Consider the following 18,133-nt stretch of genomic DNA (forward strand, 5'->3'; position numbering starts at 1 on the left):
CAGTAATGGGATTGCTGGAGACCCTATCTCTTAAAAAAAAAAAAAAAGTATATATACACACACACAGACTCACATAAAACCCAAATATATATATTAAATTATTAAATATATTATTCTCCCCAAAACCCAGCCATTTATATATATATATTTATATAATACTTAAAAGCCATTTATATATATATATATATATATATATAAATGGACCTCAAAGGTATCTTTCACTCTTCTTCCTTAGTATCTTGGCACATGTTGTGCCTTCTAATCCATTGTCTTGTTCCACTTACTCCCTTATGCCTATATATATATATATATACACACACACACACACACACACACATATATGGCTTTTGAGTTTTTGTTTTTTTATATACATATTTATATATACATATACATTTATATGTATATGAATATATTATATATTTTGTATATGTATAAAATGTGTGTATATATAATAGATATGTGTGTGTATGTATATAAAACAAAAAATAATAAATACTCAAAAGACATTTTTTCCCAAAGATCAATAAAGTAGTCCTATCTACTTTATACATGTAATATTAGGCATGTATACCTGTAGATAAAATGGAAATAGGAGATATTCCAAATGGCATCAGGTATATTATACAAGTAAATTTTAAAAATTAGATGAAATGGCCAGTTTACCAGAAAATATTGAAATTTGGCTCTATACAAAAATGAAAGACTAATAAAAATTTTTAAAAATTGATATAGCTATATTCTCCCAAAAACTCACCCAGATAGTTTTACATGTTTGGTAAACGTCTGGTTCACTCATTCAATAGATACTTTTTAGTGCCTATTATGCCCTTAAAAAAGTATTGTTGTTCTAGGCTCAGGGTTTATTTTCTAGCTAACATTTTTTGAGTGCTTATTTGGTGCTAGATACCATTCCTTTTACATGTATTAGCATATTTATTCTTCACAATAATATATAGTGGGGAGCAGGTGATTACTGTTAAAGTATAGAAACTGGTACAGAGAGGCTCAATACCTTGTGGCCAAAACGATCTTTTAAAAAACACAGATCGAGTTAACCTGCTTATAACTATTCAGTGGCGTATTACTGGTCTCTGCAAAAGACCCATATCCTTAACAAGGACCTAAAAGCCCACAATGATTTGGTTGCTGTTGCTACTGACTTCTCTAAAGTAGACTTGTACCACTTTTCTCTCTCTGTATCCTATCTTTCAGGACCTCAAAGGTATCTTTCTCTCTTCTTCCTTAGTATCTTGGCACGTTGTTGTTCTTTTTTACCCATTGTCTCGTACCACTCATTCCATTATGCCTAGTGAAAGTCTGATAATTCTGTAGATCTTAACTCTACTTCTGGATGTCTTTCAATTTCCAGATAAAATGAAGTCCTCCTACTGAGCCCACTCATAGTCTTATGAACTTACCTTCATTACCCCTAGTAAATATTTTGACATGTATTTGTGTAATAATTTGATTAATTAATACTTGATTGTATGAGGGCACAGACTATACACACACACACACACACAAACATATATATATATATTTTTTTGAGGCAGGGTCTCGCTCTTGTCACCGAGGCTGGAGTACAGTGGTGTGATCACAGCTCACCATAGCCTCAACCTCCTGGGCTCAAGTGATCCTCCCACCTCAGCCTCCCAAGTAGCTGGAACCACAAGTGTGTGCTACCATGCCTGGCTAACTTTATTTTTGGTAGAGATGGGGTCTTGCTATGTTGTCCAGGCTGGTGTGAAACGCCTGTGCTTGAGTGATCCTCCCACCTTGGCCTCCCAAACTGTTGGGATTACAGGTGTGAGCCACTGCACCTAGCTGATATTTTCACTCACCATTGTATCCCTAGCAACTTGGATAGTGCTGACACATATCAAGCACGCAAGAATGACTTAAATTTCTAAATGGATTATCTATTTTAGTCATAAGATACATGAATTGGCATTAAAGTTTTCAAGAACCTCTATCAATATAATGTGAGGCTAGTCAATTATCCAAAAAGTATTCTCCTAAAACCTAAAAAGTAAGAAATTAGTAAAATTTTCAATAAGTAACCAAGGACAAAACTAGATTGTTCTATAAAATTTTAAAAACTAACTTTAAGACAAAAATTAGTAGGATGTAGTTACTGGGAAATTAAACAAGTTGGGAAATACAAACAGGGTGGAAGATGATAGTTACCCTACACATCTCACCAACACTGTCTAGGATTACAGACAAATGATTTTACCTCTTTCCTTAATCAAAACAAATTGTTTAGGGAGAATGTTTTAAAGGAATAGTCCCAGCCGGGCGCGGTGGCTCACACCTATAATCCCAGCACTTTGGAGGCTGAGGCTGGCAGATCACTTGAGATCAGGAGTTTGGGACCAGTCTGGCCAACATAGTGAAACCCCGTCTCTACTAAAAATACAAAAATTAGCTGGGTGTGGTGGCACATGCCTGTAATCCAGCTACTCGGGAAGCTGAGGCGGGAGAATCACTTGAACTCGGGAGATGAAGGTTGCTGTGGGCCAAGGTCGCGCCACTGCACTCCAGCCTGGGTAACAGAGTGACAGAGGGAGACTCTGTCTCAAAAAAAAAAAAAAAAAAAAAAAAAAAGGAACAGTCCCTTTAAGAGTGACTAAAGATGTAAAGAATAAAGCTAAACCAAGCCAGCTACATAACTATAGAGGTATAAATGTAAAATTAACATTCATTGATTATTTACTATGTGTCAGGGATGATCTATGAGCATTTTTTAATAGACTACTTTACACTGAATATGAGCATTTATTAACTCATGCTTTTTCAAATCAACTCTATGATGTAGTTACAATTATTATCTCTATTTTACAAGTGAGAAGATCACATAAGTTTTAAGTAGGCAGAGTCAAGATTTGAACCCAGGCTAAGGTTAAGAGCTGGTGCTCTTAACTATAAGAGGACAGTAGTTAAAATAGATATCTTCCCTAATATGTGTGTAAATACTGAAGATTTTTTTATTAATACAAATTGTTTTCTTATCTAGACTATTTCACTAGCCCTCTAGTTAGTTTCCTTGACTCTAATTTTGCTCTCCTTAAATCCATTTTCCACACTGCATCCAGTGATCTGCTTAAATCTTAAATGGACTTGTACAAAATTAAGGAAAACCTACTCAGCACGGCAAACAAGGCTATGATTCATGCTTAATGACCCCAGCCTTCTGGCCTCTCCGATGTCCTTTTCTGCTACTCCCACCCTAGACTTTATATGTCTTAAAGTCTAATACAAACTCAGTACTTGTAGTGTCCACTACACACTAACCATCCCCACTTACACTATGTATTTTAAGAACTATGGATCTTTTTGTTCGCTTTTCTGAAATGCCCCTTGTTCCTGGCATTTTCGTCTCAATTAAGCATCTTTCTGGATTAAATTTTATTTTCTCCAGGAATCCTCTTCTGAAACCCTTAGAAGTGACCCTCCTCTACTGGTACTTAGCCATCCTTTATTGAAATTACCTGTTTATGAGCCAGTAACCTTTATTAAGCTCTTTGAGAAGAGGGATTCTTTCTTTCTCTTTTACCTACATCCCGCACAACCCAGCTCCCCCTCCGTCTCCCCCACCTCCATGCACAATTCCTGGCACGTGTTAACTGTTCAGTAAATGTTGAACTTTTGAACTTTACTGGAAATCAAGAAACACTGAGTTTTAGCCTCAGTTTTGCTCACTATGTGATTTTAGATATTTTATTCTCTGTGCTTATCGTGTGTATCTATATACAACTTAATCCTAAAGTTCCATCGTATAAAAAATTCTACAACTTTTTATTTTGCTCTGTATGTGACAGTACCTGGTATTTAAAAACAATTCTCTACATCAACTTAAAAAATTAACATTTGATGATTATAATTAACTTCTAAAAAACTGAAAGATGAAACACATCAATGCCTTTTCTTTCCCCCCTGTACTGCTACCTGAAAACATCGGAATTTGCTGTGGAACGAACAAGATTTCTTCTAAGAAATTACCCCCTACCACCATGACTACATAAAATAAGGTAATTCCCAGCAAGAATATTATGCAGATACTAAAAAGAAAACATGCTAGGCATGGTGGCTCACGCCTGTAATCCCAGCACTTTGGGAGGCCGAGGCGGGTGGATCGCCTGAGGTCGGGAGTTCGAGACCAGCCTGGCCAACATGGTGAAACCCCGTCTCTACTAAAAATACAAAAATTAGCTGGGCATGGTGGCGCACGTCTGTAATCTCAGCTACTCGGAAGGCTGAGGCAGGAGAATCGCTTGAACCCGGGAGGCGGAGGTTGCAATGAGCCGAGATAGCGCCACTGCACTCCAACTCTAGCTTGAGCAACAAAGCGAGACTCCGTCTCAAAAAAAAAAAAAAAAAACAATGACACGAGGGAAATGCTTACAATGCTCAATGAAAAAATGAAAAGAAAGGTTATAAAGTTTTAATATACGATTTGATCTTTTGAAAATAATGGATATATAACTTAAACGGAAATGTATCATTAAATATAGCAACAGCGTCTTCCAAAAAATTTCAAAATCGGGCTTAATGCCAATTACACGATCATAATCCAAAAACCCTTAACTGAAGCAAAGACAGTGATTTGTAACATCTGAACTGTGTGAAAGGGGTGGGGGTGATTCAAACAAGTGTCATCACCTTGTCCAATGATGAAGGAGAACGTGTATCAGTTCTGCATTGTGAAATTCTCAGTATGAGAGCGTGTAGTGGCTAAGAAAAGCAGTGGGCGAATTAGGAAACAAAGAGAAAAGCCAGCGACATCACCAGTTCTGGCCTCCTTCCCACCGGAGGAAAGGGGAGAAGGCGGGTAGTCATCAATTCCAGGTCCAGCCTAAGTTCTGGGTCCCCGGCCCCAGCGAGAGCCTCGCCTCGCCTCGCGCGCCTGCGCGGAGCGGGCTGGCTTCCTGAACGGCCCTCGCCTCTTCACCACCAGGGCCGTCCACCAGAAGTTTCTAAACGGGTGAGAGGCGACAACGCAGTGCAGCTGGGTTAAAGGAAGGAGGCTGGTTTATCCTCCGCACTTACTTGGTACTCGATCTCCAGCGAGGCCTTCAGGGGCATGGGCTGGTAGAAGCACTCCTTCTGGCCGGCGGGAAGGGTAAAGGTGAAGTCGCTATCGAGGGAAGGTGTGAAGCCGGCCGCCCCAGGCAGCAGCACCGGAGGCAGAGCGGCCAGAAGGAGCACGGGGAAGGGCAGCCAGATCTTGTCGCCCATCCCTGCTGGGGCGATCCCGGGCTGAAAGAGGCGTCAGGTACTGTTGTCTCCGCTCCGCGTTTCCTCTCTGGACTCCTCGTGGTTGACAGGGAAATCTGGAGTCTGAAGAAACTCCAGGTGGCGGCCGCGGCGGCGGCGAACACTCCCTCCGAAAGAGAAGCGCAGTTCTCCAAAGGGTAGGGACTCTGGGCGGGGCTAGCAGTCCTATTCCGCAACCGCCTCAGTCTCGGCCCCCTCAGGCCAGGCGTGAGCGCCGCCCGCCTCTCCCCCTGACGGCCTCCGGTTCCCATGGCTTCCCCCACCAATGGGCATCATGGCGGTAATTGTGGGAAATGTAGTCCCGGGCGGGCTCCGCTAGTGGGCTCGGGCGCGCTCGCCGACCACGATCCCCGGCAAGCCCCGCGCCTTCGGCGGCGCCTCACGCAGTCTGCGCCGGGGCGGGGCAGTGACCGGGTAGGCGCGTCCCAACGGCTCCCGCGGCGGTTCGAATTCTGTGCTGCCGGGGTTCGCTGGTTCTCCGAGTTGTGTCCGAGGCTTCCACGCGCAGGGGCCCGGGAAAGGGTCAGAGGCTTCCTAACGCAGACTCGAGTGCGAAGCGCGCAGTCGCCGGGTGGGTCTCTCCCCAGCGACGATTTGGGTGGTGAGCGACTGCGCCTTGGCGTGGGGAAACCGGCTTACCTGGGGGAGTTCTGTTCCTTTCCCTCCCGGCACCTTGGATGCGCTGGGACTGGTCCTCGTGGTTGCTGAGCATGCTGCTCTGAACGGTTGTATTTTATTTGATGAAAAATAGGAGGCCGGGCGCAGTGGCTTACGCCTGTTACCTCAGCACTTTGGGATGTCGAGGCGGAAGGATTGCTTGAGCCCAGGAGTTCGAGGCCAGCCTTGGCAATATGGCGAGCCACTGTCTCTATAAAATTAAAAAAAAAAAAAAAAAGAGGAAACTGTCACTTCCGTCCCCCACCCCCGCCCCCGCTTCTTTCAGACGGATGTAAGATTAGCTGTGTCAAGCGATCTTGAGACAGGAGACTACTACATAAAGTTATGACTTCTTTCCAAAATGAGGAATCTTTTTCGACTACAGCCCATTGTATCACATACATAGGGTATAAAAGAACACTTGTCCTTCGTTTGATGGGTGTGCGTGTGCAAACCTACAAACACATTGTTAATTAGGGCCGAAAGATGATGTTGTTAAGGTCGGTGAGTAGGATGATGTGCTTTTCTAGGTATGCATAGTCAGTGAAGATAGCCTTTTTTGGGTAACTACTGTAAATTGAAGTTAAGGACATTCATTTGACAGTAAATGTCCCACTAGGAAAATGAAAACATTTTAGTATCAAATATATTCATTGCTACTGCAGAAGAGTTAGGGAGTTCTTTCTTTTTTTTTTGAGACCGAGTCTCACTCTGTCGCCCAGGCTGGAGTGCAGTGGCGCGATCTCGGCTCACTGCAACCTCCGCCTCCCAGGTTCAAGCAATTCTCTGCCTCAGCCTCCCGAGTAGCTGAGATTACAGGCGCTCGCCACCACCCCCGGCTAATTTTTTTGTATTTTTAGTAGATACGGGGTTTCACCATCTTGGCCAGGTTGGTCTTTAACTTTTGACCTCGTGATCCACCCGCCTTGACCTCCCAAAGTGCTGGGATTACCGGCGTGAGCCACCGCGCCCGGACTGGGAGTTATTTCTTGCATGGCAATACACAGATGTTGAACTAAAACCTGATTTAAGATGAAATATATAGTACCAAATGGTATTATAGAATTTGCCCAATTTTCTCTACCCTTTTCTCCTTCACCATCCTACAGAGAGCTAGAGATGTTGAATAGGTAAAGCAGGATGGGGACCTGATTTATTGACTTGTCTGCGAGAGTCTTGTCACTTAAGCAGAAGCAAATTTGTGGAAACAAAAAAGGGAAAGAGGATAGAACCAGTTTGTCTATTAAGATTACATAGTATCTCATTTAATTTCCTGCCACTTTCTTTCCATAAGGTGGGAGTTTTCTTTTTAATCTTCCTCCCTACATCTGAGAATTTTTGAGTGGGGAATAAATGTAACATACCATTCTAACTGGATGAGGGAAGGAAGGACAGTTTAGTATTCGTTAATTCATTCAAAATATTGAGCTTCTCTAAGTACATTGCGGTCCTGAACGTAATGCACAGGACTTTTAACCTTTTGGAACTTGGGATGGGATCAGAATGCTAAGAAGGGCGTTGAAGGAGATGCTACAGTGAAAAAGGTAAATGGGATCTGAAAGAGGAATGTAATTTTAAGATTGCGCAGAAAGCTCTGTAGTAGTGGAGATTATAAAGCTTTAGTTTTTTATTGTATTAATTACAATAATAAAATGTGATGCTTTATTGTGATTTTTATATGCAAAGAAATTTAGTAGTTTCACAACCCTAGAGATACTCATCCACTGAAGAAACAAAAGCTTTTCTTCATTTCTATGAGTTGACCTGCCAAATGTTATTTTGATCCCTGTGGTTGTGACTTGTAAATGTGTCTTTTTAAAATTTTATAACTATTGGGCGTAGGAGGAGGAGACAGCTTTTATCTGGTAATAAATTCCCTTCTAACAAAATATGAATGTAATGATACCATTTAATCAGATGTCCAGTACTTGTAATGTAATTATGAAAGTTCAAACACCTCATATTGAAATTGATATGTAATATGTAATAAAGCTACAATGCGACATAATTTAATGGTCTTTGCATCCTAATGACTTGGATTCAAATCTTGATTTCACCATTTACAGTTTGTGTGACTTTGAGCAAGTTATTTAATGTCTGATTCTTAGTTTCCTTAACATGTAATGAAAATAATTAACAATTGTTAGGAAGATCAGGTATGCTTACAAAAGAGAACTATAATAACTAGACCCTGGCTAAAATGAAAAATTCATTCATTGAAATTGTATTGAATTCCTTTATGGCTTTACACTACAGATAAATTCATTATTATTGATTTTTTGTTTTGTTTTAAACCACCATGAAAGATTTCACAACATTTAAAATAGAAAACTAATGAGTTAAATTCTATTCATGTGAGTATTTTGACTGAAACTACAGAATCTTTCAGACAAGGTACAAGAAATTCATTTTTTTTTTAAGAAATGGAATCTAGTTCATCAGACTACTATAATAAAGACAATGAAGAGGAAAGTTTGCTTGCAAATGTTGCTTCCTTAAGACATGAACTGAAGATAACAGAATGGAGTTTGCAGAGTTTAGGGGAAGAGTTATCCAGGTAAGTAAGTAAAATCACATATAGAATTCACTGTGCCTTAAATACATCAATGTAAAATGTGTGGATTTCATTATGATGTATTGTTTCTAACCTGCCTCTGGAATAAGAAATAATTTTCTTATACTTTTTAATGTAACTTTCAGTTTAGGGAAAAATAAGGAATATTAGAGAAGCCTCTTTGCATATTAAAAACACTTTCAGTGTATTAGAACTCAGTATAAAATATATATTTTGGGCTTTACTAATTTTTTATGATTTTTTTGAATCTTAAGTAATCTTAGCGTAGAGGCTTTAGAAATACAGTTTGCTAGTTTAAAAGTAATTATGATTTATTTAAAATTTAGTGGAAACATTGCCTTATGTTCATAACTGTGAATCTGCTTAGCAGCATTTCAGGTTTTCTATTTTCTTATTTAATGTATAGCAATTTGTAGTGAATAAACTATCCAAGAACTGAAATATGTTTTTTCTTTTTTCTCTAGTGTTAGTCCAAGTGAAAATTCTGATTATGCCCCTAATCCTTCAAGGTCTGAAAAGCTAATTTTGGATGTTCAGCCTAGCCACCCTGGACTTTTGAATTATTCACCTTATGAAAACGTCTGTAAAATATCTGGTAGCAGCACTGATTTTCAAAAAAAGCCAAGAGATAAGGTTATTGTTTTTAGACCTATCTAGTTAAAAGAAGTTTTGGTTTTAGGCCTGTCTACTTAAAAAAAATTTTTTTTAATTTTAAAATTAAATTAAAGAAAAAAATTTTTTCTTTAAATACCTTATTCATGGTTTCCATAATCTTTTACTATGGTACTCAAGAATTTAAATATAATTGTTCTTTTTATGTTCTAACAAGAAAGTAGTTATCTTGGTGTATTACTCTACTTTTAAACTTACATATTTATTACCTTTTTGCAGTTAAATGTCTTCTTAAGTAAATTATAATCCCCTTGATTTTAACACTACATCTTATACATAATAGGTAATCAATTGTTTATTAAGTAGTTAAGGTATACCCACCATTTAAAGCCTGGATCAAGTACTTTGGATAGTATGGCACTGTTCTCTTTTCATTATCTATTTTGTCAATGATGTTAGAGATCTTTGCTTGGTCTGAAACTCTCTTCCTTTTTCTTATTCTATCACATATTTATCTCCCTGCATTTATCCCTCTTCCTCACTCAACTCTTTTATCTCCTTTTACACTCTCTTCCTATTCTTTGTTCCCCCGACTCCCTACATGTATATACACAGATATGGTTGCACATAATCTTTTTGGATATGTATTTGCTCTTTCCACTTCGGAAAGCCAACCATTAAGAGCTTTCCTTTTTGTAACGAATCTGCTTAATGAAGCTGTCTGAATCTACTTTTTAGAAACAAATTCAAATTCCATGTTTACATGGTATGTAATTCTAAGAAATTTGATCTCTATCCTCATTCAAATTGCTGATCATTCTTATTGTATATGTGCCTTAATTGGGAAAACAATAATGATAATGCCGATCAAAGACAAAAGGCTAATCTAGTGTGTAAAGATCTCCTAGAAATTGAGAACAAAAATATCAGTAACCCAATGGGCAAAAGACATGAACGGAAAAAGAAATAAAAGTGATATCCAAACTAATGAAAAGGTGTCCAATTTCACTCATAATAAGATAAATTCAAAGTGAAACTATACCTAAGTACCTTACCTAGTTCTTACCTATAGAATTATTAAACATTCAAATGTTTGAGGTGTTATTTTATTGGTGATATTGGGTACGGGTACATTGCCTAGTGGGAATGCACAGTGATATAACCCCAACTGAGATGCATTTGGCAATATTTACCAAAATTACAAATACATTTACCTTGACTTGGAACTCCCACTTCTGGAAAAACGATACTGTAGACACCCTGCAGGATATGAAATTAGGCATTGTTTATCATATCAAAAGATTAGAAATAGTTCAAGTATCCAGTAATAGGGGGTTAGTTGAATAAACTAATGGTTTATTCATACAATGGAAACTATGCAGTTGAGAAGAAAAAAGGAGTTTGTCAATGTATTTATTATGGAGAGATTGCCAGTGTATATTGTTCAAGTAAAAAAAAAATGCAAGGTGCAGAATGTTATATTTAATGTGCTAGTTTTTGCATAAGGAGAGGAGGGAAGTGGGTAATTTATATTGCTTATGTATGCATGTGGAATTACCAGAAGACTAAACAAGAAACTTATAAAAGTGGTTACCCACCTATTAAAGATGGGAAGAGACTTCTGTGTATACTTTTTCTTTTATATAGTTTCAAGTTTTGAATTGCATAAATAAATCACTCAAAATAAAGTTAATTAAAAGAAATGTTTTGAAAATCACAATCCTCATGAAAATTAAATGTATTGTAAAATATATATAAAAAGAATATAATAAAAATATTTATACAGATGAAATAATATTTTACCTATTATCCATTTTGTTGGTGGTGGACATTTGGGTTCTTCCTATTTACTATCTCTGGACAATGTAGCTATGAATAGTTTTATATCTGCACGTGAAAAAGTACAAAAGTTTTTATCAGGTTTATGTCTAGGGATGATATTATTGGTTCTTAGCATATTCAACTTTGCTGGATAATACCAGCCAGTTTCCCAAAGTGCACCACTGTTTTCCAGGTTATACTTGTATGTACTTCCACCAGCAGTGGAAGAGAGAGTATTGATTGTTCCACATATCCTTGTCAATACTCACTAAGTATTTTAACTCATTTTCTGAGCTGCTTCGTCATTTTGTTAATAATTGCTCATAATTTTCCATTAATTACATGTAACCCTTAATTGAAATAATTGAAAATATATTTGTTCTTTTTCATTCTTTCAGATGTTTTCATCTTCTGCCCCTGTGGATCAGGAGATTAAAAGCCTTCGAGAGAAACTAAATAAACTTAGGCAACAGAATGCTTGTTTGGTCACACAGAATCATTCCTTAATGACTAAATTTGAATCTATTCACTTTGAATTAACACAGTCAAGAGCAAAAGTATGTATCTTGAAATAAGTTTGCCAACAGAAAATAGTTGTTATTTTAAGATTTATAATTGGAAAAATATTCCTTGTATTGCCACATTGCCTTAATGTGTTATGGGAAGTAATTTTCATTATAATACTATAGTATCAACATGTTGTAAAATCAATATTGTATGAATTATATCTGAAAATGATTGAAGGGAACTTTACAGTTTTTGCATTTAGATAAGTCAGCTTCTTAAGGTGTTAAGATTACCAATTTGTGTGGTTTTATTTTTTATACAAAGGAAGTATAACTTACTTATCTTCCCTTTTAAAATAACACATTGTCATTGTTGAAAATTTTAAAAGTAGCAAAAAGAGGAAGAAAGATCACCCAGAGTTTCCACCTAGAAACCACTTTACCAGTTTAATACGTAGTTGAATCCAGACTGTTTTAAATAGTTTTGGTGTTTTCTGTTTTTTACTTTATATATAGTCTGTGCATTTTCTGATGCATTTACATAGCTTTTCCATTGAACATTTTTTATGGTAGCATTATATTTCATGTGATTATATCATAATTTAGTTAATAATTCCTGTATTTCAGTGGTTTCCTATTTTTTTACTAAATGATTGGTATTACACAAAAAATTAGAAGAAACCAAAATGTCCAGTAATGGAGACATAGTAAATTATGGTATACCCATAAGATAGATTGCAACAAAACCTTTTTTTAAAAAAATGAGGCAAATATACTAGTACTAAGATGCAAAGTTGTTTGACTTGTATGGAGCATTATAAGGTTTAAATGATATAATATATGTAGTCACTTAAAACAGTGTCTATGTGTAGTCAGCACTCAAAAACAATTACCTAATATATTTAGTGGCAGAAAAACATTACAGAGCAGTACACACATGTATAATACTCTTAGTTTTCCTCTTTATAAGAAGTGTGCATGTGTCTGTGTGTGTGTGTTTGTATGTAAATATATATACATGTGATATATTAAGGTTAGAAACTATGCTTCACACTGTTGATAATTTCGAGAGAGACTGGAAGGTTGGAGTGAGGCTTTCACTATTTACTTTTATAAACATTGTATACATACATTATATGTAGTTTTAAATAGAGGAGTTATGGGAAGACTTTATTTTTCTTTTCTGTTTTTTCAAACAAAACAAAATGCTATTAGGGATTATTTCAGCACAGGAAAAACAAAATGCAGCAATGAACATAAAACTTCTTTGGTGTTTGAGATTATTTCTAGGGTAGACTTACAGAGGCAGAATGACCAAATTTTAGGGAAATAATGTTTTTCAAGCATTTACATTTGGTTCCTCATCTTTTCTTGGTCACTTTGAGGGAAAAATGCTGTTTTTCTTGATTTCTTACAAAATGTACCTTTTCAGTATTTCTTTGCCATTTAGATTTCTTTGTGATTTGTCTGTTCATTTTTTCTGCTTATTTTTAAAATTTTTCTTCAACTGTAGATAATCTCTCTTTTTAAAGTCATGATTGCTTAGTGATTTAAAGTAAGAAAAGAGACATAAAGATAATTTAATAACTACGAACTAATAGCATTTTGAACCTTTCTTTTTAGGATATAAACATACCAGTGGTTATGTGAGAAAGTAAGATACTAGTATTGTATTTCTCAGCTCAGCATTTTCAAAGTTGTTGAAATATTTTTTAGGGAAGCCACCTATTTCAGGCCATGTATGAGCTTTTGATGTTACATATATGCCCACTATTGAGACTGTTTTGCAGAAATCAATCAATATATTCATAACTTACGTCTGGCAATGGTTGTACTTACTCTTCTGGAGCCTGGCATCCTGCTCTTTCTGAGCTTTTTGCCCTCTACACCTGCTGTCCAACTGCTACCCTGGGACTTCTCTTTGGTGTTGTTCTAGGTTGGAGCTACTGTTTCCTGAATTCTATTTTTTGTTATTTCCTAGTTTATTCTTTCTGTATTTGGAGCATATCTTCCAGTTACTTCCTTGCCTGCCTGAAAATGTCTTAATTTCTTCTTCACTCGTGATTAAATTCCAGTTTGAAAATTATTTAATGTCAGAATTTTTAGGGCATTACTCCCTTCTATCTTCCAGTGCCACTTTGAAAAGTCTGTTGCCATTGTGAATTACTTTTTAGCATGTAATCTCTTTTTTCCCCCCATTTGTTTGTTTTTCACTTTATGGTAGATGGTAGTTCTTAGGACCTTCCCATTCTGGTGTTTTAAAACTGCACAACAAGTTGTCTTTGAATAGGCCTTTATTACTCATATTGGGTATTTGAGAGCCCTTTCAGGCTGGAAACTTGTATCTTTTGGTTCTGGAAATTTTTCTGTTTCTTAATTTTTATTTTTAATTTTTGTGGGTACATAGTAGGCGTATATATTTCTGGAGTACATTAGGTTTTTTGATACAATCATGCAGCATAATAATCGCATCATGGAGAATGGATATCCATCCCCTCAGGCATTTATCGTTTGTGTTATAAACAATCCAGTTAAACTCTTAGTTATTTTTAAATGTACAATTAAGTTATTATTGACTATAGTCACCCTGTTGTGCTATAAAATAGTAGTTCTTATTCATTCTTTCTATTTCTTGTACCCATTAACCATCCCCACCTCTCCCCACCCCAACAACTGCCCTTCCCGGCCTCTGGTAACCATCCTTTTACTCTCTGTGTCCATGAGTTCAATTGTTTTGATTTTTAGATCCCACAAATAAGTAAGAACATGTGATATTTGTCTTTCTGTGCCTGACTTATTTTACTTAACATAATGATCTTTAGTTCCATCCATGTTGTTGCAAATGACTGATTCTTATTCTTCTTTATGGATGAATAGTACTCCATTGTGTAAGTACTACATTTTCTTTATCCATTCATCTGTGATGAACACTTAGGTTGCTTCTAAATCTTGGCTATTGAACAGTGCTGCAACAAACATGGAAGTGCAGATACCTTTTCAATATACTGATTTCCTTTCTTTTGGGTATATGCCCAGCAGTGGAATTTCTGGATCATATGGTAGCTGTATTTTTAGTTTTTTGAGGAGCCTCCAAACTGTTCTCCATACTGGTTGTACTAATTTCCATTCCCACCAACAGCGTATGAAGATTCCCTTTTTTCCACATTCATGCAAACATTTGTTATTACCTGTCTTTTGAATGTAAGCCTTGTTTTTTTGTTTTTTTTTGAGACAAGGTCTTGCTCTGCTGCCCAGGCTGAAGTGCAATGGTGCAATCACAGCTCAGTGCAACCTTGACCTCCTGGGCACAAGTGATCCTCCCACCTTAACCTCCCAAGTAGCTGGGACTACAGGCACGTGCCACCATGCCTGGCTAGTTTTTGTATTGTCTTTTTGTAGAGATGGAGTTTTGCCATGTTGCCCAGGCTGATTTTGAACTCCTGGACTCAAGCGATCCACCCACCTCCCAAAGTGCTGGGATGACAGGATTGAGCTACCGCGCCTGGCCCTGTGATTTTTATTTAGGAGGTATTCTCAACATTATTTTTTGCACTTCTATTAAATCTTTTATTTTGGCTGTCATACTTTTTTCGGTTTCTGAAGTTTTTTTTTGTTCCGATTGTTTTGTATTTCATAACATACTAATGTAGTATTCTCTCTTAGCACTCTGAAGATTTAATGATTTTTTTTTCATGTTTGCTTTACTTTCCTTTTTCTTTTGTTTAGGCCTCTGACTTTTATGTTAGAAGCTTTTGGGCCGGGCACGGCGGCTCACGCCTGTAATTCCAGAACTTTGGGAATCTGAGGTGGGCAGATCACGAGGTTAAGAGATCGAGACCATCCTGGCCAACATGGTGAAACCCCGTCTCTACTAAAAATACAAAAATTAGCTGGGCGTGGTGATGTGTGCCTGTAGTCCCAACTACTCGGGAGGCTGAGGCAGGAGAATTGCTTGAACCCAGAGGCGGAGGTTGCAGTGAGCCGAGATCGCGCCACTGCACTCCAGCCTGGTGACAGAGTGAGACTCCATCTCAAAAAAAAGAAGATTTTTTCAGGTGTTAGTATTTTAGCTATTCATATTTAAGAGAAAGGCATTTAAATGCAGATTGGTGGTTTGTTGTCCAGTGGACTTTATTTCTGGGTGATGGTTAGGGAGGTGGTTCTTTTGTAGGGAAACACCTGCCAGCCCCCAAACAGTATCAGTATGAGATGTTTTTCTTTCCCTTTTTTTTTTTTTAACATAAACTCAAGATTTTATTGTCTTCATAATAAAACAAAAGATAACACTTAGAACTGGGTCACTTGGCTCTTTCTGCTCTTACCTCCTCCCAGTTGAGAAAGCTTGCATCTTTTAATACTCAGCATTCTCTTAGATCTGCAGTTGGGCTCAGTGCACTCAAGCCTTAGCACAATCTTCTTTGTAGTTTCAGCCTTTTTCTGGAAAATCTACTTAGTCTGCCCACCATAACCACTCTGCTTCCTGTCATATCGACACTTTCCCTGGGCATACAGAGAATCCTTGCCCTTCTTGTACTGTGTCACTTTCTAGGGTTGGTGCTTGCCACACTTCTTACAGAAAGTCCTGCAGGTTTTAGGAATGTTCACCATGTTTGCGGGAGTGCTATCAGCAAGGAGATTTTTTTTTTTTTTTTGGAGCAATTGAGTTTCTCCAGCAAAGAATCCTTTAGTTTCTCACCTGTGGGATAACCCAAAATGAAATTGAGTAGTAAGGTGGGGCTAACCGTTTTATATTAATTCCCTTGTTACAGCTGTACTTCATTCCTGCTCATTACTCTTAGTGTCTCACAGTCTCAAGCTTCTTCTGTTCAGTTTCTTCTGATAATAAACTTTCTGCCTCTTTCCTAGTATGCCAACACCTTGCTATTGGTGTTCTGGGAGTGGGAAAAAGAGGATGACTGTTACTTGCAGATACTTTGAACTGTATCCCTGGTTTTTCATTGGGTCCTCACTTCTGCCCTCTACAGTACCTTGTGCCTTCATGTTCTAAACTTCTTTTTCAGTGATAGTTATCTTATTGATACTCTCTTCTATACCATTTAGATTGTGGGTTCCCACCCTGCTATAGTAGTTGTACTCTCTTTATTATACAGATTGTAGGGTTATTATGCTTTTCTGTATTTAGATTCTTCCTAGTAAGCATGTATTCTATAATTAGGTTTTTAAATCATAAAAATTCAATAAATATTTTCTTTTATAATTGTTTATAGTTTGATATTTTATGTTTAATTTTCTAATTTATGTAAAATAAATCTTGCTAGATGCTTATCAATAGAGATTCTATTTTCTCCCCTAAATAACTCTTCAGTTATAAGTTGAAGGTAATGCCAGGAGCTTACATGCCAAGGCTGGCTTATAATGATGATATGCCCATGTAAATGTTGATCAAAGGAATAGATGGGAAGCTTTATATCTGACCAATGATTTGGGAGCCCTATTGAACACCCTCATCTGACAGGAAAAAAACTAAGGACCAAGTAGGTTAATTTATTTTCTGAAAGTACTATAAAAGTTGTTTTTATGTTTTAGGTTTCTATGCTTGAGTCTGCTCAACAGCAGGCAGCCAGTGTCCCAATCTTAGAAGAACAGATTATAAATTTGGAAGCAGAGGTTTCAGCTCAAGATAAAGTTTTGAGGTAAATATACTTTTTATAGCTCTCAAAGTTTTATTTTCTACTTATACATTTTATTATATCTTGTTAAATCTTGTTCCCCACACCCAATAAATTTACAGTAACCTAATGGTGTTCAGCTGTCTTAGAACTTGTTGAATCTATTTTTAGTCAATCATAACTCCTCTTGGCTGTAGGTTGCATGTAGTATATAGGGGCTAAAAAGACTAAGGTGAGATGCCTATTTACATGCTTTTATCAAACATGAATTAGTTCATTTCTTCACCTACATAGAAGTATATACTCAGTGTTTCAAAGGGAGTTCAAGAAATAAAATGTAAAGGAGTCAGACACTTTTATTATTTTTACAGAAAGGGTCTCACTGCGTCACCTAGGCTGGAGTGCAGTGGTACAGTATGGCTCACTGCAGCCTCAGCCTCCTGGGTTCAAGTGATCATTCTGCCTCAGCCTCCCAAGGAGGTGGGACTACAGGCACGCACCCACTGTGCCCAGCTAAGCTTTTTATTTTTTATTTTGTAGAGACAGGGTCTCACTATGTTGGTCAGGCTGGTCTCAAACTCCTGGCCTCAAGCAGTCGTCCTGCCTCGGCCTCCCAAAGTGTTGGGATTGCAGGCATGAGCTGCCATGCCTTGCCATCAGGCACTTTATAATTTATTCTCTTCTGCTTTGAATAAAATGGGAAATATATGCATATTAAATAACATATTACTCTGAGTGATTCCGAAAGTATAGTTAAAGGACCAGCAGTAGTAGCATCACCTGGGAACTTGTTAGAAATGCAAATTCTCAGGTCTTATCTCTGGCATACTGAACCAAGTTGGGAGGGGTTTCACAAGTTCTGCAAATGATGCTGCTGCACACTGAAGTTGTCTTTTATGTCCATCAGAGTTTTGTAATTTTCTTTGTAATACATATATTATTTTAAATTTGTAGGTATTTTATATTTTTGGCAATTGTGAATTGTTCCTACTTTGTTCATTGCTAGTGTATGGGAAGGTTACCGACTTTTGTATAATATAATTATTTTGTAATTG

General features: G+C 37.3%; 2 protein-coding genes and 1 pseudogene across 43 annotated transcripts in view, besides 3 other annotated features; 1 reads left to right on the forward strand and 2 right to left on the reverse strand.

Annotated features, from left to right (window-relative positions):
- Positions 1-5,409, reverse strand: part of TMED5 (transmembrane p24 trafficking protein 5) — a 30,672-nt gene extending 25,263 nt beyond the window's left edge. For all 4 annotated transcript variants that reach the window (NR_030761.2, NM_016040.5, NM_001167830.2 and 1 more), the window contains exon 1: positions 5,050-5,409. Coding sequence is in view for 3 of the 4 variants with exons in the window: in NM_016040.5 (NP_057124.3) it covers positions 5,050-5,238 (189 nt within the window). In the remaining variant the exon portion in view is untranslated. The remainder of the gene's footprint in view (positions 1-5,049) is intronic.
- Positions 4,790-4,939: an enhancer, noted in NCBI's record as "active region_1327". NCBI's record gives its function as "activates an Ori minimal core promoter by ATAC-STARR-seq in GM12878 lymphoblastoid cells {active_cell/tissue: GM12878}" and the evidence as "EXISTENCE:reporter gene assay evidence [ECO:0000049][PMID:35858748]".
- Positions 4,909-18,133, forward strand: part of CCDC18 (coiled-coil domain containing 18) — a 98,818-nt gene continuing 85,593 nt past the window's right edge. For 21 of the 39 annotated variants that reach the window (XM_011541361.4, NM_206886.4, XM_017001161.3 and 18 more), the window contains exons 1-5: positions 5,712-5,878; positions 8,356-8,491; positions 8,974-9,142; positions 11,341-11,499; positions 16,996-17,102. In XM_011541361.4, coding sequence (XP_011539663.3) covers positions 8,358-8,491; positions 8,974-9,142; positions 11,341-11,499; positions 16,996-17,102 — 569 coding nt within the window. In that variant the 5' untranslated portion in view covers positions 5,712-5,878; positions 8,356-8,357. Of the gene's footprint in view, positions 4,985-5,325; positions 5,415-5,711; positions 5,879-8,355; positions 8,492-8,973; positions 9,143-11,340; positions 11,500-16,995; positions 17,103-18,133 lie in introns of those variants that run through there. The other 18 variants (NM_001378204.1, XM_047419510.1, XM_047419526.1 and 15 more) reach the window with 5 other exon arrangements.
- Positions 5,470-5,749: a silencer, noted in NCBI's record as "silent region_1082". NCBI's record gives its function as "represses an Ori minimal core promoter by ATAC-STARR-seq in GM12878 lymphoblastoid cells {active_cell/tissue: GM12878}" and the evidence as "EXISTENCE:reporter gene assay evidence [ECO:0000049][PMID:35858748]".
- Positions 5,810-6,019: an enhancer, noted in NCBI's record as "active region_1328". NCBI's record gives its function as "activates an Ori minimal core promoter by ATAC-STARR-seq in GM12878 lymphoblastoid cells {active_cell/tissue: GM12878}" and the evidence as "EXISTENCE:reporter gene assay evidence [ECO:0000049][PMID:35858748]".
- Positions 15,686-16,082, reverse strand: RPL36AP11 (ribosomal protein L36a pseudogene 11; annotated as a pseudogene).

Source organism: Homo sapiens, chromosome 1 (genome assembly GCF_000001405.40).
Source record: "Homo sapiens chromosome 1, GRCh38.p14 Primary Assembly".
In the NCBI taxonomy this organism is placed as follows: Eukaryota; Metazoa; Chordata; class Mammalia; order Primates; family Hominidae; genus Homo; species Homo sapiens.